Source organism: Homo sapiens, chromosome 4 (genome assembly GCF_000001405.40).
Source record: "Homo sapiens chromosome 4, GRCh38.p14 Primary Assembly".
Lineage (NCBI taxonomy): Eukaryota > Metazoa > Chordata > Mammalia > Primates > Hominidae > Homo > Homo sapiens.
In genome coordinates this window covers 14,660,724-14,688,592 of record NC_000004.12, presented here as the reverse complement: position 1 = coordinate 14,688,592, position 27,869 = coordinate 14,660,724, and the positions used below count along the sequence as shown (strand labels likewise).

Below are 27,869 nucleotides of genomic sequence, written 5' to 3'. Positions count from 1 at the left end.
TTAAGAGAAAAGATAAACATTCTAAAGTTGACCTCAATAAATAAATATTTATGGGCCCAGGGACTTTTTTTGTCCTAAGAATTTACTAAGCTTTCCTTCTGTCATTTTTTCTTTCTTCTTTCCATCATTCCCTCCTTCCCTCCTTTCTTTCTTCCTTCCCTCCTTTCTTTCTTCCTTCCTTCCCATTAAGAGAGTATTAATATTAAAGCTGTCATCACTATAACAGAAAATGTTAAATACATTTTAGAGTTATAAATAGAAGCTATTACCCTCTAGTGGATATAATATTATATACTATATGAGAGAATTGGAAGACCAACTCTAAGCATTTTTATTACTATTGGCAACTGCTCAGAGAAAAGCAAAATCTGACCCATTTATAGAACTGAAAAGATGTTAACATGAGTATTTTTACCCTGCTGCTATAACTTGCTTTTTCTTTTACATAAAAACAAGCGAGAAAACACGTATACACCTGAGTGAGGCTGATCTTATGTAATGTCTATAAATATATCAAAGCACTCATTCATGTACCATTTAATAAATATGTCTCTATAAGAGGAACTGTCTCAGGTTCTAAAGAGGAAAAGTACATAGGCCATGTCCTGGCTGCAAGAGCTCCCATTGTAGTTGGGGTAATAGATTGAAGGGTGAAACTTTACAACCAATTAAAATATAATCTCTCTGTTTCTCTCTCTCTCTCTCTCTCTCTCTCTCTCTCTATATATATATATATATATATATATATATATATATTCATTCTATGACTTCTTTATCAACTCGCTGATTGATGGGCTGAATCTCTTTATCTGAACAGTGCTAATGATAAAAGTTCCTCCCTCATGAGGCTGTTGTGAGGAAAAAATAATGTCCCTAAAGCACCCACTCATGCTAGTTGCCATAGTGTTGCCACTCAATAATGGTGATTGTTATTATCTCTCCAAATTACTCTTGAACAACTTGAAATTCCCATTTGTCAATCTAATGAGTAATTGGAAGTCATTGGAAGATGCAAGTCAGGAGGGCCATGATCAAATTTGTAAACAACTTGCATTATAAACAATTAGAGCACCATGAAAGCAGGTGGACTTGTGAGGGGCTGTTGCATGAGAACTGGTGTGAACTAGTTTGGGGCCACATGTTTTAACTGACTCACAGGTTAGTATAGCTGGGGAGGCCTCAGGAGACTTACAATCATGGTGGAAGGCAAAGGGGAAGCAGACATCTTTTTCACAAAGCTGCAGGAAGGAGAATGAATGCAGGAGGAACTACTAAACACTCATAAAACCATCAGATCTTGTGAGAACTCACTCACTATCACAAAAACAGCCTGGGGGAACCACCCTCATGATTCAGTTACCTCCACCTAGTCTCTCCTTTGACATGTGAGGATTATGGGGATTACAATTCCAGATGAGATTTTGGGTGGGGACACAGCCAAACCATATCTCTCATTAAAGAAAAATCAAACAGAATATTCATAATCTCTCGCACCTTGACATTTGTTAAAACCATTGTGTATACCTAAGATCTTCCCAGATGTCTCTCTACGTATTCTTATTTTACTATACCAAAAAGATTTAATATAGACACTCTTTTGTTATCTTCCATAATTTATGTCATCATCTAAATAATTATTTGTGACTTAGATTTTTCCAATGTTTCTCAACGTAAAGTATACAGAAGAGAAATAATTGACAAAACAAGATTTAAAAGTGGACTGGCAGAAAAGTAGAACTCACCTAAAACATTCTGAGAAAGGCACAGTTTTAGAGACCAATAACTTTATGATGCTCTAAAATACCAATTACGTATTGGAAAAGCGAATTACTAGGGCTATATCTTTAAATCACCTTCCTTTTCATCAAATGACTTTAGCAGGGGAAGGGCATGGACCACCTGCAGCCACCAGCCTCCAGTTTCCAGAGAAGACGGAGGCCATGGACATGGTCCACATCAACCTTAACCATGCAGGGGCAAACAAAGATGCTTTTGTTTATACACCAGGGCCATTCTTGGCTCTCTGTCCCCACATTCTATGGGTCAGCAAATCATTTCTGGTCTGCATTCCCCACATCTGGGATCTGATTACTTCTCAACACATCTACATTATCACTCTAGTTCAAGTTACTCTTTTATCTCTTAATTGAACTCCCTGCTTCTACACTTGTCCTCTCATAGTCACTTCTCATACATGGACCAGAGGGGTCCTCTTAAACTCTAAGTTGGAATTCCACTCCTCAGCTCAAATGCTGAAGCACTCCCAGGGCATGCAGTAACTCACAGAATCTGCCCTCGGCCACCTCTTCTCTTTGTCTTCCCCTCCTAATATTGTCCTCCTCACCTGCTCTACTCCTGCCATACTGGGCTCCTGGTTCTTCCTCAGAAACAGGACAGTCCCTCACCTCAGAGACTTTATGTTTGCCAGAACACATTTATGGAATGCTCTTTCCCTACACACTGACATGGCTTAGCCCCTCATAGCCTTGTGTCCACTCAAATGTCACCTCCTCACTAAAGGCTTGCCCAGAGGACCCCTCTGGTCTGTGTATGAGAAGTGACTATGGGAGGGCAAATGTAGAAGCAGGGGTTCAAATTAAGAGATAAAAGAGTGACTTGAACTAGAGTGAAAATGTAAGCTTTATAAGGATGAGGGTTTTTGTGGCTTGGGTCAGTGCTAGAGCCCCAACCACATACAGGAGGCATTAACATACTTTATTGAGTGGCTAAACCCCGTCCCTACCTCCAGCCATAGAAGACCCCTTTTCCCGTTACAACTCATTTCGTTATTTGTGCAGGTTCAATGGGAATGAGTATGAAGAAAATTGGTACAAATTACCAGGACCCAGTTGGAAGGAGCATGGGGGGAATTCCCCATGAAGACTTTTAGGAAGATGTACTTTTTTGTCACCAAGATCCAACCCTTGTCTTTGAAGCCTTGATCCACGTCTTATCATCTCTTAATCTTCTATTTCCCAACTCAAAAGAGAGAAATAATTGTTAAATGTTTCCACTGGGACAGTGTTTTGCTGTTAAAAAGGTTTACAAGGAATAAATAATCCAGAGAAACAAGGTTATGAAGAAATACCAGTAGATAAGAACTCTTGTTCTGGATTAGAACTATACCATTTGAATTCTTTTAAGCTGTTGGAACTTAAGCAAGTTTTCTAACTTCTTTATAATTATGAGTGTTGATTATCATAGCACACATCTAATAGAAAGGGCAGGGGTGATAAAATGAGAGAATGCATGGATAATGCACAGCACACAATGCTCAATGTTCAATTAATAGAAACCTTTGCCATTATCTCCATAATTGTGGTAGGTGAAAAAAAAAGCATGGCACAAACTCATATGTATAGCATGAAGTGACAAGATAAAATAAAGTCCACATTAGCACAGGACTTTCAATCTCTGCATCAGAGCTGGGGCACTCTTGCCCTCTCACCACTTCACAACCTCCCTCAACTCAGCCAATTTCACATATTAGCATCTGCCACCTGCGATACACCAACTGGATACTGATTTTGGTATCAATCAGTGTTCTTTCAATTGTAAGTCACAAATATGCAAACTGACTTAATCAAGAAGACAATTTATTGTCTCATAAGAATGAGAAACTCTGCCTGGCTCAGCGGCTCACAGCTGGAATCCCAGCACTTTGGGAGGCCAAGGGAGGCAGATAACTTGAGGTCAGGAGTTTGAGACAAGTCTGGCCAACATGGCGAAATCCTGTCTCTACTAAAAAATATTTATATATATATTTCTGGGCGTGGTGGTAGGTGCCTGTAATCCCAGTACTCAGGAGGTTGCGGCAGGAGAATTGCTCGAATCTGGAAGGCGGAATTTGCAGTAAGCCGAGATTGTGCCACTACACTCCAGCCTGAGCAACAGAGCGAGACTCTGTCACAAAAATGAATGAATAAATAAATAAATAAATAAAATACCATGGAATACTATGCAGCCATAAAAAATGATGAGTTCATGTCCTTTGTAGGGACATGGATGAAATTGGAAACCACCATTCTCAGTAAACTATCGCAAGAACAAAAAACCAAACACCGCATATTCTCACGCATAGGTGGGAATTGAACAATGAGATCACATGGACACAGGAAGGGGAATATCACACTCTGGGGACTGTGGTGGGGTCGGGGGAGGGGGGAGGGATAGCATTGGGAGATATACCTAATGCTAGATGACACGTTAGTGGGTGCAGCGCACCAGCATGGCACATGTATACATATGTAACTAACCTGCACAATGTGCACATGTACCCTAAAACTTAAAGTATAATAAAAAAAAAAAAATTAAAAAAAAAATAAATAAATAAAATAAATAAATAGAAAATCTACTAGGAAGAGCTGGCTTTACATATATTTAAGTTTAGTCATCCAAATAGAATGATGTAGTGATATTCTTCCCCTCCTTCTCCCTCCTTTTTCTTCCCCCTCTTCTCCCTCCTTTTTCTTCCCCCCACCCTCTTCCTTTCTTCTTCTCTCTCTTTATCGCCATATCTATCCAGGCTCTGCTTGTTTCAGCTTGGATTTATTTGGGCCGACTTTCCCTACATGATAACATGAGTCTGAAGTCAACCCAGTAAAGAGACTTCATGCTTTAGAATAAGAACATTATTTCCAGTATCCAGTAGCTTTAGGAAAGTCCTAGAGAGGTCTTCTATTGGCTTGGCTTCATTCACGTGGCCATCCTTGAACAGATCACTGTGGCCAAGGCAAAGAGCAAATCACTGTGCTCAACTAGAGGCCAGGCTAACAGTGTGAGGCCCATTATGAGGCCGTAAAAATATTTTAGTATTGTTATGTGATGGGGGAGGTTTCTTTTCTCCAAAGAGCTGTTGAGTAGACACAGAAGGAAAAAATGCCAGAAATTCTATATACTCTTCATAATATTAGGAGTAATTAACATGTGGATATCTTGGTGAATGATTTACTTTTATTTTAACTTTTAACATAGGGTTTCCAAATGATTGTTTGTCATAACCCAGCATTTTTATAGTTGAAAAGAAAAATTTAAAAAATGATCCTGGAAAGCCAAGCCAGCTGGTAAGCCCATCAAACAATGTGTGGATGAGTACATGTGACCCAAGGACCAGCCCAAACGCAGATGCAGACAGATTCCAGACTCTTCAGCAATCCTTCCCTTATCTGGGGCAAAGGCTGTGATGCCTACACAGTCTCTGTCATTTCATCCCTGATGCTCCAGTTTTTAGGAGAAACCACCTAGTCATGTTCAAACTTCCAGAAATGGTGGTCCTGTGGAAAGAATCCTAGGCCAGCAGCTAGGAGACCTGCTGTGAGTCCCAGCCCTGCCCATCACAGCTATGTCAGGTGGTTCAGACATGTTGGGCTTCAGGTCCCCATCTATAATCAAAAAGTTTGTTTCTAGCTTCAACAATCTATGACTATTATTTCCGTTTACTGATAGAGTAACTAATTACTTCATTATAGGTTTTCAAGACCAGTTACCTCCTGTTTGGTTCAATTAGCAAAATGCCAACATGATTGTCATTGATTTTGGTGGTTGGGCTTCCAGGAGAGAAGCCCAATGGGAAATAGTTCAGGATCTTAAGCAGATTTTGTATTTATTATTCCAAGGTAGTATATGCAGGAGCAGGGTTTGTCATGCATTTCTCAAAGTTCTTGCCTAGGAAAAGCTCACTCCCATCGTTCTCTTCCATTCTAGTGATGCCTTAGGACTCTTCGATTTAGAGTCTAGAGCCAGAGGAGAAGGAATAATCATGGTTAAGACTGGCTATAATGAAGACTTTTTTTTTCCCCCCTGAATAGAGAATCATAGAGTATCAGACAGAAGGTGAATTTCAAAGATGATTCAACCCAATCCTTTTGGATTAGAGGCAACATTTTCTGAGTATCTTCATGTATATTCTACAGAAAGAACATATGGTGCAGAGTTGAACAGAATGTGGTTTGAATCCTTACATATGTGTGACCTTTGGAGAGCTTCCTACTTTTTCTGAGTCATATTTTTATTATTATATATTTTAACCTTGAAAGTAGAAATGTTGATAATACCCATCTAGTAGCTGGTGTGGATATAGTAGGCAGAATAATGACCTTCCCAAAAAAGTCCACATGCTAATCCTCAGAACCTGTGCATATATTTCATTCCACAGCAAACAAAACAAAACAAAACAACTTTGCAGATGAGATTGAGTTAAGCTAAGGATACAGAGATGGAGAGATTCTCCTGGATTGTCTATGTGGATTCAGTATATTCATAAGGGCTCTTATACATAAAAAAGGTCAGGCAGGAGAGTTAAAGTCAGAAGGGAGATACAAAAGAAGAAAAGTTCAGAGTGATGAAGGGAGTGGTGTGGCTACAAGCCAGGGAATGAGAGCAGCCTCTAAAAGCTGAAAAAGGCAAGGAAATGAATTCTCCCCTAGAACCTTCCAAAGGAACACAGCCCTACTGACCCATTTTAGACCTCTGATCTCTAGAACTGTAAGATAATTAATTTGTGCTGTTTGAAGCCACCACCTTTGTGGTAATTGGTTACAATTACAGCAATAGTAAACAGATACAATGAGGATTGTTAATTACAAAAACTGGTGCCCTGGAGCACCAAATGCATGAGGTACACTGAATGCTATTGTTCTTGCTGTTCTGGTTATTGTTGTTTTTCTTCTCCTTTATCATACTTTCTGTCTTCTTTTCCTGTCCCTCATCCTTCTTTACCATTCTCTTTCTCTTTCTCCTGCTCTTCGCTTCCTTCTCATTCCACTAAAAATATAACAAGAAAGGAAGAAAAGAGCTAGCATTTGATAAGGACCAGTCAGGAACCACCCTTGGTGATTTTACATGCATAACCTAGTTTAATCTTTAAAATAAGTCTTCGAGACAGGTTTTAGTATTTTTATTTTACCAATGAAGACACTGGGGTCTACTGAAGTAAAGTAGTTACTTCCAGATGCACTGAGTTAGTGAGAGTCCTGAGACTGTGGGCTGGCCCACACCTCCCTCCTCATTAGCAGCCTGATCTCTGTTCCAGACAGCGAGCTGTCCACCTGTGTTCTGTGCGTCCTGGCTGGCCAGAGCAGAACTGAGCATGGGACTCCATCACCATGGAAACGGCATTGCCTGCCTGGGTTGTGGAGTGGTGTCTTGTCCAGCCAGGGTGGCAGATGCTGGGAAGAGATGCTGTACCCCAAGAAGGGGTTGCCATCTCTCTGAAGATGTTCCCTCTTCTAAAGACAGCAAATAGCTCATCCCACCCTTGCCATTGCCATTTCAAATGAGCCCTCTCTTATGAGTTGAAGCACAGACCGTTTATCAGACACCTACAGTATGTTACACACTGCTAGCCTTGTGCAAGCTTTTTTCTCTGGTTCATATTACAATTCTGTGAAGTGGGTACTGTTTTTCCTATTTACAGACAGGAAACTGAGGCTCAGAGAAGGAAGTATTTTGCCCACTCACACATGAAGTAGCAGACTGGAGTGTAGCCCGCTGTGCTGGCAGGCCACGGCCAGGCTTTCCCAGCCTCCACCCCAATCTCCATTCCCAGTGAAGGTTGCAGGGCTTCCCAGAGGCCTTGAATCTCAACCCACCGTGTGCTAATGAAGTCATTTTCATTTTCCCTCTCTCTCCTTCCCAGCGTCTCTCTTTTTGGGTCCATATGTAACAGGTTTGTTATGTAGATCCAGATCATATAACAGGATTTACACAAGCACTGCCCCAGTGGCGGTGGCATGGAGCAGGGCATGCCTTGGTGGAATGAGAAATCTGCAGAGCCAAGGAGGAGGAATTGAGACAGTTGATGCAGATGCCCAGACTAGGTAAGAGAGGACAGTCCTCCCCTCTGCCACAGGCCTCCCCACTGGCTCTGTCGGATAGTCAGCAGCACCCTTGTGAACTCTGCTGCTCAGAGCACCCAGGACTTCTGAGAGGATGGAGGGAAGGACGGCAGAGTGGGTGAAAGGCCCAGCTTTGGAACTGGACTGAGCTGAGCTTTTGGGTCAACTCTGCTGCTCTGGAGCTGTGTGGTTTTTGGGCAAGTTGTCTCACATCTGTGAGCCTCAGTTTCCTTTTTTGTAAAAAGTATCTGACAGTACAAGTTTGACCATGTCATAGAGTTGTGAGGATCCCATAGTCAAAGGGGCCATGGAGGTCAGGTTACCCCACCAGGCATTTAGAGTCAGAAGAACTGCTGATCAGAACAAATAAGAACTACCTATTGGATACTAGTCTCACTACCTAGATAACGGGATCATTTGCACACCAACCGCAGAGACATGCAATTTACCCATGTAACAAACCTGCACATGTGTCCCCTGAACCTAAAATAAAAGTTGAAAAAAAAAAAGAGAAGGAATCACTGTCTGAGTTCACTCAGACATCAGGAGTGGGGCTTCTGCGTTCGTTTCTAAAATTCTTTCCTCTAAAGCATATTGTTTCTTGTGGGGTCAAATGTGATGAGCAAGAAACAGCTGTGCCAGTGTTGATGTCAGAATGTGAGGCATTGAGGGCCTTTCCTCTGACTCCTTTCCTTACACTAGGCTGCCTTCTGGCAGGGCTTGCTGCAGTCAGGCCATGACATGAGCGGCTCCGTGACTCCACTCCAGATCTCATGCCCCCTTTGAATCTCTAGTAACAAACACAGAAAAATGGTATAAAGGCATTTAATATCAAGCATAAATGGTACACGGTGGAATAATTGATAGGCTTATAAAATAAGATTCTTAAATGGAATCATTAGAGAATGTAAAAATTCCCTGAGAGTATGTTTAATGAGCTTACCAGGGGCTGAGGCAGGCAGAAGGTCTAAGGTAACTGCAGTTTCACAGAGAAAAGGGAAACTGTCAGGTCTAAAATCTCTCAAAAATCTCTCCTTTGCCTACTCCCACCCCCACTTTCTTATTTTCAGCATCAGAATGAGAGGTTTCCCTCTCCCTGGGCAACTTTAGTTCTTTCCTGGGTTCTTACCTAAATTTCCTTCTTACTTCCTCCAGATGGTTCCTTTATAGTGACTCCATCTCTCTCCAATTCCTCACTAGTCATTCTTTTAACAGGCAACCATTCTATACATTTCTATGCCTGCCATGTGGCAGACATGTTCTAGACACTGCTGATGTAACCGCACATTAGTCTTTGATCTCCAGGAACCTATATTCATGAGGGGCAAGTTGCCCTAAACAAGTCTATGATATATAATGTTATATATGTCAAGCCATGCAAGGTCCTGGGGAAAACATTAAAGCAAGCTAGGAGAGCAAAAGCAGTGGCTGGTGGTGATCATGGTGGCTCTAGGGGGAGGCGATGGTAATGGACATTATGGGGCTAAAAAGCCATTTTCAATTAGGTAGTTAGTGAAGGCCTCCATAGAAGATGATATGTGAGTAGAGACCCAAATCTTAAGAAGCTAGATCTGCAAAAATCTAAGGAAAGACACTTCCAAGCAGGAAAGTGCAAATTTAGAGTCCCTAGGCTTCGTTGCCCCCTCCTCTTCAGTTGTGATTTATGCTGCCTCTCTAGATCCTTGGGGGATTGAGTAAAGGTATCCTCTGTGGGAATCTGCCTGAGAAAAACACTTCCTAAGTCACTTTAGCACACATCCTCCTCTTGGGGTCTCCTTCCGTGAACCCCAGACCTAAGACAGTTAAGTATAAATATCTGTTTCAAGACGTTTTTCTTTAAAGAGAGGGAACTGGGGTCAAGATTATTAGAGTCCAACAGGCAACTCACACTCAACATTCCCCAAATTGAACCTATTAACATTGTCTTCTCAAATTAGCTTCTCTTCCAACATTGCCCTTCTGAGAGAATGCCTGCATTGTTCATCCCGGCACAAAGGCAGAAACCTGGTTTATCTTCAGTTCTTCTCCAGTCAGTCTCCAAACCTTGTTGTTTCTACCTCCTTTACATTAAACACAGAAGTCGGCAAGGCTTGACCAAGAATGATTTAGATGTGGTTGGTGGCAGTGGGAACCACTGGAGCATGTTCAACCTTGTTTACCCAAAATCGAGCTTAAAATAAAACCACAGCCAATTTGTTGGTCTTTGTTCTTGGCAGTCTTTTCCAAATTGTGCATTGCATATGCATAATGTCAATTTCATGCAGACTTTAAGCACAAATAGAAAAGGAGGGGGGCCTTCCACCATGTCCTTTAGCATTGTTGGGAAGAGTGAAGCATTGCACTTTTATTGTCCTTCCTTCAGGCTCTGAGGAAATAAATATAATCAGTGGGGAAATTCAGTAGAAGCATAACAAAGAGCAAAGGCAAGAGGCAAGATTTTGGAGGGGAAATTAATTAAGCCAAACTAAAATGAATGGTTTTAGGTTTGGGATTCTGAGGCAGGCTGGGTTATGGAAAACTGGAACTGAGAAAGGAAGTGTCCCGGCAGGGAACTGACTCAGGGTCCAAGATTAATTATCATTCATGACCTAATTATGTAGTCAGAACGACCACTCTGCCAGTTCCTCTAATACAGGGGATGAGAAAAGGATGTGGCTCTGGAAGCTGGGGGTCTCACTTCCAATTTTCACTTAAAACAGATAATAAAATGGCCCCTCTCTGCCCTTTTATTCTTATTATTTGTCATTTTTATATTTTTAAAAGAGCCATTCTCTTCCAGATGGTTTTCTCCTTCTTTGCCAAATAACCAATAAACTTTCTTGTGATCTTAACATAAAAATGTGAGGTATATTCCCACTGGGTAGATGATGTACACCAGGTAGAATACTTATGCAGTCTTTATTCAGTTTACTTATTTATACTGCCTACTATCTGTAGGATATCTCTTAAGATACTTCCATTTTGGTAATAGGTTCAATCAAAGGTAAATGTGATTTGGCTTAAAGTCATTTACTTATCTTGCTAGCCCTAGATGCTGGAAACTACTATTAACTCCATTCTATAGATGTTTAAATTGGGGTTAGAAGGTTTAAGCAACTTTTCCAAAGTTACATGACTAGGGAATTAATGGAACCAGAGATTCAAAGTCAGACTTAGGTGGCTTCTCCAAAAAACACATTATCATTCACTTTAATAAAATCTGAACCTGTCCATTGCATGTGACCAAGTCTAGCCACACATCTAGGTTGGTCTATCACTAACACTTTAATACCATTTTCATCAAGCAACGAACAATTAAAAGTTTATCTTCTGGGCTCCTTGGCTGCTACTAAAAATTGTTTGATAGCTCTATACTTCCTTTGGGTAAATCTCAAAATAATTCCAGGTGTGGCACTTGAGTTCCTTTGTATTATAAACCTATCTTACTTGTCCAGACTCACCTGTCCTCACACAGTATCACCCCTACAACCTATATTTTATGGTTAAGCCAAACTAGACACATATGCAGATGTTGGCTATGATGATAAAGACTGTAAATATATTAGTAAGAACAAAGTGAAAGGCAGGAAAAAATGTTGGAGCCCTAGGGAGTAAGTAAGTGTGGTGGAACATGGCCTCTGGAACCAGACTATTTGGGTTTGAGTCTTGGCTCTGGAATGTATGAGCTGAACAAACTTGAGAAATTTACTTGCCCTCTGTGCATTAATTTTCTTATTTGAAGAACTAGGATTAATAATAGTATTTTTCTTATGTGGTTAAATGATACATAAAAATTGTGCAGAGCAGTGTCTTGTACATAGTAATTGTTATATAATTATTAGTTACTATCATCATCATCATAAGACTGACCTAGGTTAGAATTCTCTCTCGAATTTTGTTTTCTCTTCCTTAAGGCAGGATATAATTATTACCTGATTGATGTGAGAAATAAATGGGATAATATGTTAAAATCCTAAACATAATATTTGATATATAATAAAATGTGAGCTATAACATGTTCGCATGACCTTTATTCGTCAATTTCTTCTTTCTTACTCAAGACTCTTGACATTTTCCAAACCTTGCTGAGGTCTCCAGGAAGTTGTTCTTGGTCTTTTTCTAAGCTCATTCCTCACTTGGGCTGCTCCTTTCACTGTGGTTGAACCTTGTTCACTGGCCATTGTCTTGCTACAGTCGTCATCTGTATATGGTGACAGGTAGGTACTCAATGCTCATTAACTCCCAGATGTCACTAAATATCCAGAAGTAGACACACAGTCTCTGTCCTCAAGGAGCTTGTGACAAATGAGGGCACAAGTTAAGTTCAGAGAAAAAGCTACAGACTTTGAAATGTTCTTTAGAATTCACTGTGTTGTAGACTTCAAGGGATCTGTCATTTTGACATGTACTTGGGAGCTATTTGTACCGTACTCATTATGTTTCCTTTACTCTGCTGAGTACCCAACATATAAAAAGTAATAAATATTTGCTTTAAAACACTCTACTCAGTTTGTTGGAACAAAACTGACATGTTTGCTTAATTATACTGGTATTAATTGAAAGCCTAGTGTCCTAGGAGTGCTGTTAAAAAACAAAACAAGCAAAAAACCTGATGTATTATCTACCATCGTGCAAATTCTACCCTAGTGAAGAGCATGGTGGTACTAAACGCAACGATTGTCAGTGGTGACATGTTTAATGAAGAAAATAAAACACCAAAGTGGGATAGAATAATTGCGGATGGAGAACAGGGAGCTACTTCAGATTTAATGTACAAGGACACCCTCTCTGAAGAGATGACAAGGCTCTGAAACCTCAGTGCTGAGAAGGAACCACCCATTACAAGAGCTACATGAAAATACTTTTAGCAGAGAAAACATCAAAGGCAAAGCTTTCATGCTGAAAACCAGCTTGGATGTTTATGGAAATAATTCTGAACCCAATAGAATATGGAGCAAGTGCTATGGAAGCTCTGAGGGGCAGGGAGCAGTCTCTAGGAGGATGTAACAACTATGTACAATAGGGCTCAGTAAACTTTTTCTGCAAACAGCCAGGTAGTAAATATTTGGGGTTCTGCAGCCAGATGGTCTTTGTCACAACTACTCAACTCTGCTGTTGTAGCACAAAAACAGCTATAGACAATATGTAAATACATGGGCATGAATGCACGCCAATAAAACTTTATTTATGAAAATAGGCAGAAGACTGAATTAGCCTGCAGGCTGTAGTTTGCTAATTTATGGTTTACAATATTAGACAAAGGACTTACACGTGCTGTAGCAGATTGAATTTTCCATGGGGCCACACCAATGTATTCTGTGTCATATTCTCCTATTACTGTGTTTTGTAAATAAACATGGGGATGGGGGCGGGGTGTCTATACTTCTTCCCCTTGAATTTGGGTGGGTCTGGAACTACAGTAGATGTGTTGCTGCATGACCTCTAATACTAAATCATGAAAGATTAGGCAGCTTCCCCTTGACTTGCTTGGAGCATACATCTTGGGAGCTCTGAGATTACATACAAAATGTCCTGCTAATCTGAAACTGCCATGCCAGATACTCACATGGAAAAACTATATAGATCCCTGGCCCTCCCTCATTGATTCTTTGTAGCCCAGGGGCCAGTCATGTGCATGAGAGAGCTTTCAGATGTTCTAGATAATTCTAGTTCCCAACCTTCTAGCTACTGTAGGTGAAGCCAACAAAAAAAGGCTCTACAAGATTACAGATTCAAGAGCAAATTAACTGTTTTTGTTATTTTAAGTCACTAAGTTTGGGGTAGTTTGTTAGGTAGCAATCAACCAATACATGTTTTGTTTTTGATATTTAATAGCATTTAATTTTTTTCAATAGCTCTAAGAAATATTGTATAAAATACTCATTTATACAGGATTTGAACTCAAGCCCACAGAGAGGAATTCATGCAGATACAATTCTAAGAGGTCATTTTAGCAGAATAACAAGATTATTAATTAGCTGCATTAAATTCAGGTATTTGTTACTTTGAATTATAGTTCTCATAATTTCTACATCTGGTGGGAGGGATCTGTTCAGGGGTAATTGAATCATGAGGATGGTTACCCCTATGCTGTTCTTGTTCCAATTATTTTGTTTTTCCAAACTAAAATTTTATATGATTCTTCTTTATGTCTTATATTTTCTTGCTGAGATTTTGTTGTTGTTGTTGTTTCAAGAGTGTTTATAATTGATCATTGGAACATTTTCGTTTTAGTTGCCTTTCTGTCATCTGATAATTTCAACATTTGTGTCACTTTGGTGTTGGTATCTGTCGATTGTCCCTTATCATTTAAGTTGAGACATTCCTTTTTCTTGGTATAATTAGTAATTTGGACTCTATCCTAGAAATTTTGAGTATTAAGTTATGAGACTCTAGTCCTGATTTAAGTCTTTTATTTTATCAGGTGGTCAACCTGATATGGTGACATGTAAGTAGTCAATGTTCATTAACTCCCAGATGTCACTAAATATCCAGAATTAGACACACAATCTCTGTCCTCGAGCTGGTGAAAATGAGGACACAAGTTAAGTTCATAGAAAAAAGTACAGACTTTGAAGTGTTCTTTAGAGCATTTCAAAGAACTTTGGAACCTATTTAGGTTCGGAATTCATATCCTGGCTCCCTTTTATGATTTAAATGCCAAGTTGTGTTTAGCGTTTCTGAAGTGCTATTACAGTTTGCTCAACTTGAGTGTTACTTGGATGACAGGACTCCCATACCACAGTGTCCACAGTGCAGGAGGAAGGGCAATGCCTATCACTGCAGGGTTGGGGTGGAAGTTAGAACTCTGTCTTAGGCTGCACCTAGAAATGGTATTTTGTCCTTACTCAAGTCCCAAGGTCCCTAGCATGGTGTCCTTTTCTCCATCTCCCAGAGTTTTCTACTAGATGACTTATGCATTTTGTCCAGGGATTTTTAAATTGTGATTATCAGAAAGAGCAAAATGGAATACATTTATCACGCATTCAGAGCCAGAAGTCATTTTTTACTCGAAAGGCTATGCTTTTCCACTATTTCACACTCTCTCTGGGGCTGTGATATTTGAAACAGTATGTGTCCTGCCTGATTTCAAATTGTATCCTGAACATTCAGACACATTTCTTCTACTGTTCTTGTCCCTTCAATTTTTCTATTTCTCTCTACATGATATGGTTTGGCTGTGCCCCCACCCAAATCTCATCTTGAGTTGTAGTTCTCATAATCCCTACATCTGGTGGGAGGGATCTGTTGAGGGGTAATTGAATCATGAGGGTGGTTACCCCCATGCGTGTTCTTGTGATACTGAGTGAGTTCTCACAAGATCTGGTGGTTTTATAAGGAGCTTTTCCCCCTTTGCTCAGCACTTCTTCCTCCTGCCGCCATTTGAAGAAGGACATGTTTGCTTCCCCTTCTCCTATAATTGTAAGTTTCCTGAGGCCTCCCCAGCAATGCTGAGCTGTGAGTCAATTAAACCTCTTTCCTTTATATATTACCCAGTCTTGAGTATGTCTGTTGGCAGCCTGAGAATGGACTAATACACTACGTAATACTGTGTCACAGTTATATCCAGAATATTGTCTCTCTTCTATATGGTACTTTCAGTCTCTCTTGTATCATGTCCCTAAAGAGAGGAACAGTATTGTTACTAGTTATATTCAAATCACTGATTGGCCTTGTTCACTGGAAGATGGAATCACAGAGTGTTTTAGGAAGGATACATGGGTCAGGCTTTCTCTTCTGTACTGCTAAAGCATAAAGGGTCAAAGTAAAACTCTGGATGCAAGGAAACTTTGTTCTCTCTGCTCCTTTTTTGCAATAATCCATAGTGTTTTAACATTTGAAACTGGAGTTTAGGCACTTAGAGAAGTAAAACAGCTGGAAAACTAATGGAGCATTATGTCTCACTTAGTGAAGATGAGCGTTCCCTGTGGTCCGGTGCCAGATCCCAGTTTACAGCATTGGGTATTGTTAGTTTTAGCTACACTTCAGCCTCAGCCACGGTTCAACCCTACCCAACTTGTGTGTGTGTATGTGTGTGTATGTCTGTGCATGTTTGTGTGTTCTTTTATCTCCCTCACAACCCTTGGACAAGTGGGTTCAGTCAGTAAGAAAGAAGGATAGACAACCCAAAGGTGGCTGTACAAGAACTGATTGGCAGTGTTTCATTAGTTACATTAGGAAAAGGAGCCAAGTGATGGTGGAAGGGTTTTTCAGTTGTTGCTGTTTTTTTTTTTTAACATGAGGAATAATAAGTGTGTGTCCTAAAAATCACATGGAATAAACCTGGTCAGGTTCTCAGGGATCATCTGTGAAAGTGAATATTCTCTCTCTCTCGTTTCCAGGCATTGTGATAACCAACTGTGCCATGTATCTGCACCTATTCCCTTCCCCTCTCCTGGCTCTATGTGGAGTCCTCTTACAACTCTTGGAAAATGAATTTCTTCTAAGAGAGAAAAAGACTGCTCTTTTCTATTTTTATTTATTTTTTAATTGACACATTTAGAATTGCATATATTTATGGTGAACTGCATATGTTTGTGGTATATAGCATGATGTTTTGATATATGTATGCATTGTGGAGTGATTAAATCAAGCTAATTAACATATTTATTACTTGGTATACTTATTTTTTATGTGGTGAGAACATTTAGAATCAACTCTTTTAGCAATTTCCAAGTATACCATACATTATTATTAAGTATAATTACCATGTTGTATGATAGATCTCCTGAAAGTATTCCTCATTACTAAGTGATATTTTGTATCCTTTGACCAACATCTCCCAACCCCCCTGCCCCCCAGCCCCTGCTAACCACCATTCTCTTCTTTTGCTAGGAAACTAGGTAGCTGAGCTGTACAAATAATTCAATCATTAGCCTTATTTCCCCTTGTTATAGAGGGAGATGGCTCAGACTCAAAGACTCAAAGGCAGCCTGAGGGATTATAAGGAAGGTAAAATCTACCCCCTGCCCACTATGAAAAACTTGCAGCTCCTTTTTTTTTTTTTTTTGGTAATTTTCCAGAGGTAGCAAAGAAACTGCTACTGCATGAATATCAGGTTCCAGGAAACTGAACTTCCACCTCTGTACAAAAGGAAGATGGATGTTTATGACCCTCCCCCGCAAATGAAGTTCAAACTGTCACAGGGGTGTGGATGCAGGGGTAAGCGCTTTAATTAGCCACTTAGGTTAGATCAAGGGCCACCAACATCAGACCTCATCTTTGAATAAGCCCTTTCTGATAGTCGCCTTTCTCAATGCATTTTAGGAAAACACAGTTTATTTATTCAGTCAAGTTAAGCTTAGCTGAGAAAATGAAAAAGAAAAAAAAAAGAAACGATCAAAGTTTTATTTTCCACTTCCCATCTCCTCAATTCTTTTGCCAATTTCATTCTCCAGCTTCCCTTCAACAGAGCTTGATTTAGCAAGAAAACAGTGGGTTCATTTACCCAGCAAGGGAGTGCTTTTCATGTTTGAGCTTTGAAATGAAAATTGTCTATGGGCAGGCTTCTCTGCAGCTCTGTCTGAGAGCAGCAGGGCCTGTCATCATGGCTCTCTGGACTTGGGGGAAGGAAGTTAAAGTTTGGAAGGAGCAGGAATGGGTAGTGGTTTTCTCTAGGTAGGACCCTGCAGTGGTGGAGAGCAGAAACCCAAAGCAATGGGAATACTGTGCTCTAAGGGGTCTGGGGTGATGGCATTTGATTTTCAGCCAATATACATTACATAATTTCACCCCCACCACCCTGTGACTCCCAACCATATAGACCTTTGATATAAATATGACAAATGATCCCAGCCTCTATGCCAGCAGAATTTAAATCCACATTTTCATGCAACACATCTATAGACATCCTTTAGGTAAAAGTAGTGCAGAAACAGACATCTTTCTCCAAAGACAGATTGGATTGCTTTAAAATATTTTAACAACATCTACTTTGGAGCTTCTCCATTTCAGTAGGAGTGGTACATAAGTGAAAATCACATGTTTTCTCTTCTGTCTGGATTCGTAACTTGATGATAGAGGTAGTCACAGACATGAATAATTGTCAGGTACATGATACTCAGTAATAAATACTTTACCCAGAGTCCCAACACATACATGCAGGATAAGTAAGGGCTGGTGCCTTGGAATTACTTCGTATCTGGGTTTAATGCTAGGTTATGCCTCTTATTAACTCTGTGGATCTGGGCAAGTTATTTCATCACTCAGAGACTCAGTTTTCCCATCCATAAAATGAGATTAACAATAATTCACTTTGTAAAGATGAAATGAAGTTGTGCAAAGAAAGCAACAGGCATGCATCTGTATTGTACAGTAAATGCTCAAAGACTGATAATTCTACACCAATAACTTTGGGATGGTAGGGGAAACAGAAAGAAGCTCTGATCAAGGGGGATTAGAAAAGGTTGGTTTGTTTGTTTTTTGTTTTGATTTGTTTTGTTATTGGTAAGAGATGGCTCTGGAGGAAGGGTTATGCTACTGGACAAGAAGGCAGTAAAGGCAACAACTTAGAAGTTTACTTCTAATCAGACGTGAAAAGTAGAGTATGAGGTTCATGTTGGGCTGATGGTGCAGTGGGAGATTATCTGTAGAAATAGGATGGGCCCAACATACAGAGGATTTTGAGGGCCTGGCTGAAGAATATGCACTTGATTGAATAGATGGGTTCCTGGGTAACTGGTTTAATCAGCTATTTAGGCTAAATCAAGGGCCACAGACATCAGACCTTATAATTAAACAAGCTCTTTCCTCTGGTAGAGGGAAGTCACTGAAGCCTTTTGAGTAGGAAAATGACAGACAGAGCTGTGCCTTCTCAGGAAGATCACTGAGGAAGCTGTGAGTAGGGTGGTTAGATATGGGGGTAGAGGTGGGCAAAGACTGGGAGAGACTGCACTGAAGAGGTGCAGTCGTGATGGGGAGATTACAGATCAGAAATGTTGCTGCATTTCTGGCACATGTGAAACATGATTCTGACATTGTTTTAGGTGGAAAAAGTTAATTCTTGAAAGCAAAGACCAAATTTCAAAGCTAATAACCAAGATGGAGCGCAGGAGGAGACAGAATGTTCTTTATTGTCTGTTTCATATCCGGAGTGTTCCTCCAGTAAATCATCCCACAGTGGCAATCAGCACACCTGTTAAGTGAGCCTTGGCATTTAATTGGCATTATCGGCCCTTGCACAGAAGCAGACAAAGGATGTCACTGGCGTGTGAGTGGGACACATTTGCATTTCATAGACAATTAAGAGGGAGCTAATCAAGTTTGTCTGCAGCTTCCCTAGGGAGGACACATCTGGCTGGAACAATGAGTTCCTTTCTTTTCTGAGTCAAAGGAGTGTAAGGACTTCAGGCAACCAGGACCTTAACTCAGCCCCTGGGTGGACCCAAAATGCTGCTCTTGTGGCCGATAATACAGGAAAGTGGGCAGAACACCAAGCTGTAGCCTCTCAGGGCTGACCAGTGACAAAGGCATCCGGCTAGACTCTCAAGGCTTGGGTTCTTGTTCTAGCTACCCCACTAACTTACTGTATACTTTTGAGCTTGGCTGCTTGCCTTTTGTGTGTTTCAGTTTATTTATTTTTCTGAGAAATGGCTCTGACAGTAAAAACTTGAAGTTACAGTCATTATGGGTGACCTTCTGAGCTCTGTTTTGGTCAAGCTGGTATCACACATTCATTCATTCATTCAGTCATCAAGCACTTATAGAGCACCTCAGTAGGCTCTAGACACAGCAGTACAAAGCTCAATAAGATACTGTTGTATTTTCAAAAATCTCACAGCACAATGGGACCAACACTTAAACAACTACATTGATTTAAATGTAGAAAATACTGTAATAGAAGTGGGTGCAAAGTGTAGAAATCTGGCTGGGGAAAGGAGCAGTTCTTTCCAGTCTGGCTGCACCTTGGAACATAAGAAGTTTTCTAGCTGGACATCAGAGTGAATTCTAGGTAGAAACAAAAGCATAGATAAAAACACAGGGATATTCAAGAGTATGCCCTGTTGGAAAGCAGTGAAATGATTTACTGGAGGAAATCGTGAGGAATAAGGTTTTGAAAATAAATTCTGGGTCTAGGTTATTAGAATTCAGAGCCCTCAGGTTAATACCATCAGTAACATCTGAAATTTCTTCAATCAAGATTAATTTTTGATGTGAATCAATCAATAATATAATATTGAACACTTGCTCTGGGCAAGGCCCTATAAAGGACAGAGAGATGAGTAGGATACATTATTGCCACATTATACTGTCTGCCAAGGGACAAAGGGCTTCAGAGACAAGCAAACCCAAAGCCACCCATTCACTTGTTTGTACTTTCATCCAGTGATTTACAAATCCTTAGTGAACCCCTAGCATGTGCCAGGATTCCGGATTAAAAAAAAAAAAAAAAGACAGGTAAGTGAATCAACATTCTTGCTTGAGGAGCTTGTGGACAATCCATAGACTATTACACCTTCAGGCACTACAAGTTATTACCAGGATGTACACAGGATCTATGGGAGTATGGGGAGGGGACCACACTCAGACCTAGTGGGAGTTTGATCAAGGAGAGCTTCTCAGAGGAAGTGGCAACAGAGTGGCCCCTGCGAGTACAACCAAATCATTCAGGGAAGACGGGGGTGGGTACATGTGTCCTAGAGGACACAGAGAGACTGTTGTGAGAAGGAGGAACAGTTTGTACAGAGGAGGTGCTGAGGAGATCCTGGTGATGGGAACAAAATGTGCATTAGTGGAGGAGGGTGTGCTAGGAAATGGGGTGGACAGGGCTAATACTGTGGTGGTGGTGTCACCCCCCAGTGCCCATCAAGAGATTAGGAATGCAGAGGAGAAAACATCTCACAGCAAGACACTTGGCATATCTCCAGTGACAGAAGAGATGTTTCATGGAAATGTGAAACCTTTTAAAAAGGGTTTTAATTGTATTCTAAAGCCTGACTAAAGAAGGTCTCCAGTTCAGGGAAGGGGAGGAGCCAAGGAAACTCTATTTATAGTCATGCATAGCTTAACAACGGGAATATATTCTGAGAAATGCATTGTTAGGTGATTTCATCACTGTGCAAACATCATAGAGTTTACTTACAGAAACCTAGATGGCTATGTGATGTAGTCTACGACACACCTGTAGTATAGCCTGTGGCTCCTAGGTTACAAACTTGTGCAGCATGCTACTGTACTGAGTGCTATAGACAATTGTAACACAATGGTTAGTAATGGTGTATCTAAATATGTCTAAACATAGAAAAGGCACAATAAAAATACAGCATTAAAATCTTATGGGACCAGCCAGGCACGGTGCCTCACATCTGTAATCCCAACACTCTGGGAGGCTGAGGTGGGTGGATCACCTGAGGTCAGGAGTTTGAGACCAGCCTGGCCAACATGGTGAAAACCCACGTCTCTACTAAAAATACAAAAACATTAGCTGGGCGTGGTGGCAAGCGCCTGTAATACTAGCTACTTGGGAGGCTGAGGCAGGAGAGTTGCTTGAACCTGGGAGGTGGAGGTTGCAGTGAGCTGAGATCATGCCATTGTACTCCAGCCTGGGTGACAAGAGCGAAACTCTCAAAAAAACCTTATGGGACCGTCTGCCCTTAGGTAAAGGTGAGACCCATAGCAGCCCTGGGGGTGGGCTTGCTCCTTCTAGGGGGGTGACTGGAGATCTGAGGCTGTGCAAATAGGAAGGTTCCAGACTTCACAGGCATTATTCACCCCAGTCTCCCAGAGACTCCGTTTAAAAGCTGCTCCAAGGCAGTTCTTGAAGATTGGGTTCAAAAATAAACAAACTCTGTTGGGCTCTGGAGTTGTGGGCTCTTATTCTGGCTGCCCCACTAACTTCCCACACTGGCCTGAACTTGGCCATGTGCCTGTTGTGTGTGATGGCTATCAAGCAGGGGCCCCCAAGATGAGTGGCAGAATGGTATTATTGTTAAAGAATTAAGACCAACAGGAATTCCAATCCTTATACTTGTTTCTTGCAAACACTTGAAGGAGGCCAGCATCCAGGAAGGATGACAGAGGAGTTGTTCAAGGCCGCCCAGGTCAGACTGCCTGGGTTTGAAGAGAGCTTGGCAATTTACTGGGCCAATTACTTAAACTCTTTTGGCATCTATATTAGTCTCCTGTGGCTGCTGCAACAAATTATGACAAACTTGGTGGCTTAAAACAACTGAAATGTATTCTCCCACAGTTCTAGAGGCCAGAAATCTGAAATTAATATCACTAGGGGAAAATCAAGATGTCGGCAGGGCCATCTTCCTCCAGATGCTCCACAGGAGAATCTGTGCCTCTTCCAGATTCTGGAGGCTGCCAGCATTCTTTGGCTTGTGGTCACATCATTCCCATTTTCAAGGCCAGCATCTTCAATCCTCTGTCTGCTCTATTTTCACATCACCTTCTCCTTGATGTATAAGAAAATGTCTCTCCGCCTCTCTCGTAAGAAAACATATGATATGGGGGAGGAGCCAAGATAGCCGAATAGGAACAGCTCCGGTCTACAGCTCCCAGTGTGAGCGACGCAGAAGACGGGTGATTTCTGCATTTCCATCTGAGGTACCGGGTTCATCTCACTAGAGAGTGCCAGACAGTGGGCGCAGGTCAGTGGGTGCGTGCACCGTGCGCGAGCCGAAGCAGGGCAAGGCATTGCCTCACTTGGGAAGCGCAAGGGGTCAGGGAGTTCCCTTTCTGAGTCAAAGAAAGGGGTGATGGATGGCACCTGGAAAATCGGGTCACTCCCACCCAAATACTGCGCTTTTCCGATGGGCTTAAAAAACGGCGCACCACGAGATTATATCCCGCATCTGGCTCAGAGGGTCCTACGCCCACAGAGTCTCGCTGATTGCTAGCACAGCAGTCTGAGATCAAACTGCAAGGCGGCAGCGAGGCTGGGGGAGGGGCGCCCGCCATTGCCCAGGCTTGATTAGGTAAACAAAGCAGCCTGGAAGCTCGAACTGGGTGGAGCCCACCACAGCTCAAGGAGGCCTGCCTGCCTCTGTAGGCTCCACCTCTGGGAGCAGGGCACAGACAAACAAAAAGACAGCAGTAACCTCTGCAGACTTAAATGTCCCTGTCTGACAGCTTTGAAGAGAGCAGTGGTTCTCCCAGCACGCAGCTGGAGATCTGAGAACCGGCAGACTGCCTCCTCAAGTGGGTCCCTGACCCCTGACCCCCGAGCAGCCTAACTGGGAGGCACCCCCCAGCAGGGGCACACTGACACCTCACACGGCAGGGTATTCCAACACACCTGCAGCTGAGGGTCCTTTCTGTTAGAAGGAAAACTAACAAACAGAAAGGACATCCACACCAAAAACCCATCTGTACATCACCATCATCAAAGACCAAAAGTAGATAAAACCACAAAGATGGGGAAAAAACAGAACAGAAAAACTGGAAACTCTAAAAAGCAGAGCGCCTCTCCTCCTCCAAAGGAACGCAGTCCCTCACCAGCAACGGAACAAAGCTGGATGGAGAATGACTTTGACGAGCTGAGAGAAGAAGGCTTCAGACGATCAAATTACTCTGAGCTATGGGAGGACATTCAAACCAAAGGCAAAGAAGTTGAAAACTTTGAAAAAAATTTAGAAGAATGTATAACTAGAATAACCAGTACAGAGAAGTGCTTAAAGGAGCTGATGGAGCTGAAAACCAAAGCTCGAGAATTACATGAAGAATGCAGAAGCCTCAGGAGCCGATGCAATCAACTGGAAGAAAGGGTATCAGCAATGGAAGATGAAATGAGTGAAATGAAGCAAGAAGGGAAGTTTAGAGAAAAAAGAATAAACAGAAATGAGCAAAGCCTCCAAGAAATATGGGACTATGTGAAAAGACCAAATCTACGTCTGATTGGTGTACCTGAAAGTGATGGGGAGAATGGAACCAAGTTGGAAAACACTCTGCAGGATATTATCCAGGAGAACTTCCCCAATCTAGCAAGGCAGGGCAACATTCAGATTCAGGAAATAAGAGAATGCCACAAAGATACTCCTCGAGAAGAGCAACTCCAAGACACATAATTGTCAGATTCACCAAAGTTGAAATGAAGGAAAAAATGTTAAGGGCAGCCAGAGAGAAAGGTCGGGTTACCCTCAAAGGGAAGCCCATCAGACTAACAGCGGATCTCTCGGCAGAAACCCTACAAGCCAGAAGACAGTGGGGGCCAATATTCAACATTCTTAAAGAAAAGAATTTTCAACCCAGAATCTCATATCCAGCCAAACTAAGCTTCATAAGTGAAGGAGAAATAAAATCCTTTACAGACAAGCAAATGCTGAGAGATTTTGTCACCACAAGGCCTGCCTTAGAAGAGCTCCTGAAGGAAGCATTGAACATGGAAAGGAACAACCGGTACCAGCCGCTGCAAAATCATGCCAAAATGTAAAGACCATGGAGACTAGGAAGAAACTGCATCAACTAATGAGCAAAATAACCAGCTAACATCATAATGACAGGATCAAATTCACACATAACAATATTAACTTTAAATGTAAATGGACTAAATGCTCCAATTAAAAGACACAGACTGGCAAATTGGATAAAGAGTCAAGACCCATCAGTGTGCTGTATTCAGGAAACCCATCTCACGTGCAGAGACACACATAGGCTCAAAATAAAAGGATGGAGGAAGATCTACCAAGCAAATGGAAAACAAAAAAAGGCAGGGGTTGCAATCCTAGTCTCTGATAAAACAGACTTTAAACCAACAAAGATCAAAAGAGACAAAGAAGGCCATTACATAATGGTAAAGGGATCAATTCAACAAGAAGAGCTGACTATCCTAAATATATATGCACCCAATACAGGAGCACCCAGATTCATAAAGCAAGTCCTGAGTGACCTACAAAGAGACTTAGACTCCTACACATTAATAATGGGAGACTTTAACACCCCACTGTCAACATTAGACAGATCAATGAGACAGAAAGTCAACAAGGATACCCAGGAATTGAACTCAGCTCTGCACCAAGCAGACCTAATAGACATCTACAGAACTCTCCACCCCAAATCAATAGGATATACATTTTTTTCAGCACCACACCACACCTATTCCAAAATTGACCACACACTTGGAAGTAAAGCTTTCCTCAGCAAATGTAAAAGAACAGAAATTATAACAAACTATCTCTCAGACCACAGTGCAATCAAACTAGAACTCAGGATTAAGAATCTCACTCAAAACCACTCAAATACATGGAAACTGAACAACCTGCTCCTGAATGACTACTGGGTACATAACGAAATGAAGGCAGAAATAAAGATCTTCTTTGAAACCAATGAGAACAAAGACACAACATACCAGAATCTCTGGGATGCATTCAAAGCAGTGTGTAGAGGGAAATTTATAGCACTAAATGCCCACAAGAGAAAGCAGGAAAGATCCAAAATTGACACCCTAACATCACAATTAAAAGAACTAGAAAAGCAAGAGCAAACACATTCAAAAGCTAGCAGAAGGCAAGAAATAACTAATTTCAGAGCAGAACTGAAGGAAATAGAGAGACAAAACCCCTTCAAAAAATTAATGAATCCAGGAGCTGGTTTTTTGAAAGGATCAACAAAATTGATAGACCACTAGCAAGACTAGTAAAGAAAAAAAGAGAGAAGAATCCAATAGATGCAATAAAAAATGATAAAGGGGATATCACCACTGATCCCACAGAAATACAAACTACCATCAGAGAATACTACAAACACCTCTACACAAATAAACTAGAAAATCTAGAAGAAATGGATAAATTCCTGGACACATACACTCTCCCAAGACTAAACCAGGAAGAAGTTGAATCTCTGAATAGATCAATAACAGGAGCTGAAATTGTGGCAATAATCAATAGTTTACCAACCAAAAAGAGTCCAGGACCAGATGGATTCACAGCCGAATTCTACCAGAGGTACAAGGAGGAACTGGTACCATTCCTTCTGAAACTATTCCAATCAACAGAAAAAGAGGGAATCCTCCCTAACTCATTTTATGAGGCCAGCATCATTCTGATACCAAAGCCAGGCAGAGACACAACAAAAAAAGAGAATTTTAGACCAATATCCTTGATGAACATTGATGCAAAAATCCTCAATAAAATACTGGCAAAAGGAATCCAGCAGCACATCAAAAAGCTTATCCACCATGATCAAGTGGGCTTCATCCCTGGGATGCAAGGCTGGTTCAATATACGCAAATCAATAAATGTAATCCAGCATATAAACAGAGCCAAAGACAAAAACCACATGATTATCTCAATAGATGCAGAAAAAGCCTTTGACAAAATTCAACAACTCTTCTTGCTAAAAACTCTCAATAAATTAGGTATTGATGGGACGTATTTCAAAATAATAAGAGCTATCTATGACAAACCCACAGCCAATATCATACTGAATGGGCAAAAACTGGAAGCATTCCCTTTGAAAACTGGCACAAGACAGGGATGCCCTCTCTCACCACTCCTATTCAACATAGTGTTGGAAGTTCTGGCCAGGGCAATTAGGCAGGAGAAGGAAATAAAGGGTATTCAATTAGGAAAAGAGGAAGTCACATTGTCCCTGTTTGCAGATGACATGATTGTATATCTAGAAAACCCCATTGTCTCAGCCCAAAATCTCCTTAAGCTGATAAGCAACTTCAGCAAAGTCTCAGGATACAAAATCAATGTACAAAAATCACAAGCATTCTTATACACCAACAACAGACAAGCAGAGAGCCAAATCATGAGTGAACTCCCATTCACAATTGCTTCAAAGAGAATAAAATACCTAGGAATCCAACTTACAAGGGATGTGAAGGACCTCTTCAAGGAGAACTACAAACCACTGCTCAAGGAAATAAAAGAGGATACAAACAAATGGAAGAACATTCCATGCTCATGGGTAGGAAGAATCAATATCGTGAAAATGGCCATACTGCCCAAGGTAATTTACAGATTCAATGCCATCCCCATCAAGCTACCAATGCCTTTCTTCACAGAATTGGAAGAAACTACTTTAAAGTTCATATGAAACCAAAAAAGAGCCCGCATCGCCAAGTCAATCCTAAGACAAAAGAACAAAGCTGGAGGCATCACACTACCTGACTTCAAACTATACTACAAGGCTACAGTAACCAAAACAGCATGGTACTGGTACCAAAACAGAGATATAGATCAATGGAACAGAACAGAGCCCTCAGAAATAACGCCACATATCTACAACTATCTGATCTTTGACAAACCTGAGAAAAACAAGCAATGGGGAAAGGATTCCCTATTTAATAAATGGTGCTGGGAAAACTGGCTAGGCATATGTAGAAAGCTGAAACTGGATCCCTTCCTTACACCTTATACAAAAATCAATTCAAGATGGATTAAAGACTTAAACGTTAGACCTAAAACCATAAAAACCCTAGAAGAAAACCTAGGCATTACCATTCAGGACATAGGCATGGGCAAGGACTTCATGTCTAAAACACCAAAAGCAGTGGCAACAAAAGACAAAATTGACAAATGGGATCTAAATAAACTAAAGAGCTTCTGCACAGCAAAAGAAACTACCATGAGAGTGAACAGGCAACCTACAAAATGGGAGAAAATTTTCGCAACCTACTCATCTGACAAAGGGCTAATATCCAGAATCTACAATGAACTCAAACAAATTTACAAGAAAAAAACAAACAACCCCATCAAAAAGTGGGCGAAGGACATGAACAGACACTTCTCAAAAGAAGACATTTATGCAGCCAAAAAACACATGAAAAAATGCTCATCATCACTGACCATCAGAGAAATGCAAGTCAAAACCACAGTGAGATACCATCTCACACCAGTTAGAATGGCAATCATTAAAAAGTCAGGAAACAACAGGTGCTGGAGAGGATGTGGAGAAATAGGAACACTTTTACACTGTTGGTGGGACTGTAAACTAGTTCAACCATTGTGGAAGTCAGTGTGGCGATTCCTCAGGGATCTAGAACTAGAAATACCATTTGACCCAGCCATCCCATTACTGGGTATATACCCAAAGGACTATAAATCATGCTGCTATAAAGACACATGCACACGTATGTTTATTGCGGCACAATTCACAATAGCAAAG

The 27,869-nt window shown here is 41.1% G+C and overlaps 1 long non-coding RNA gene across 1 annotated transcript in view, besides 1 other annotated feature; it reads left to right on the top strand.

The window, feature by feature from the left end:
- Positions 1-27,869, top strand: part of LINC00504 (long intergenic non-protein coding RNA 504) — a 417,705-nt gene that overhangs the window by 199,577 nt on the left and 190,259 nt on the right. The window lies entirely within an intron of this gene.
- Positions 22,646-23,205: an enhancer, noted in NCBI's record as "H3K27ac-H3K4me1 hESC enhancer chr4:14667012-14667571 (GRCh37/hg19 assembly coordinates)". NCBI's record gives its function as "activates a minimal SCP1, AML or CMV promoter by ChIP-STARR-seq in primed H9 embryonic stem cells {active_cell/tissue: H9 hESC(primed)}" and the evidence as "EXISTENCE:reporter gene assay evidence [ECO:0000049][PMID:30033119]".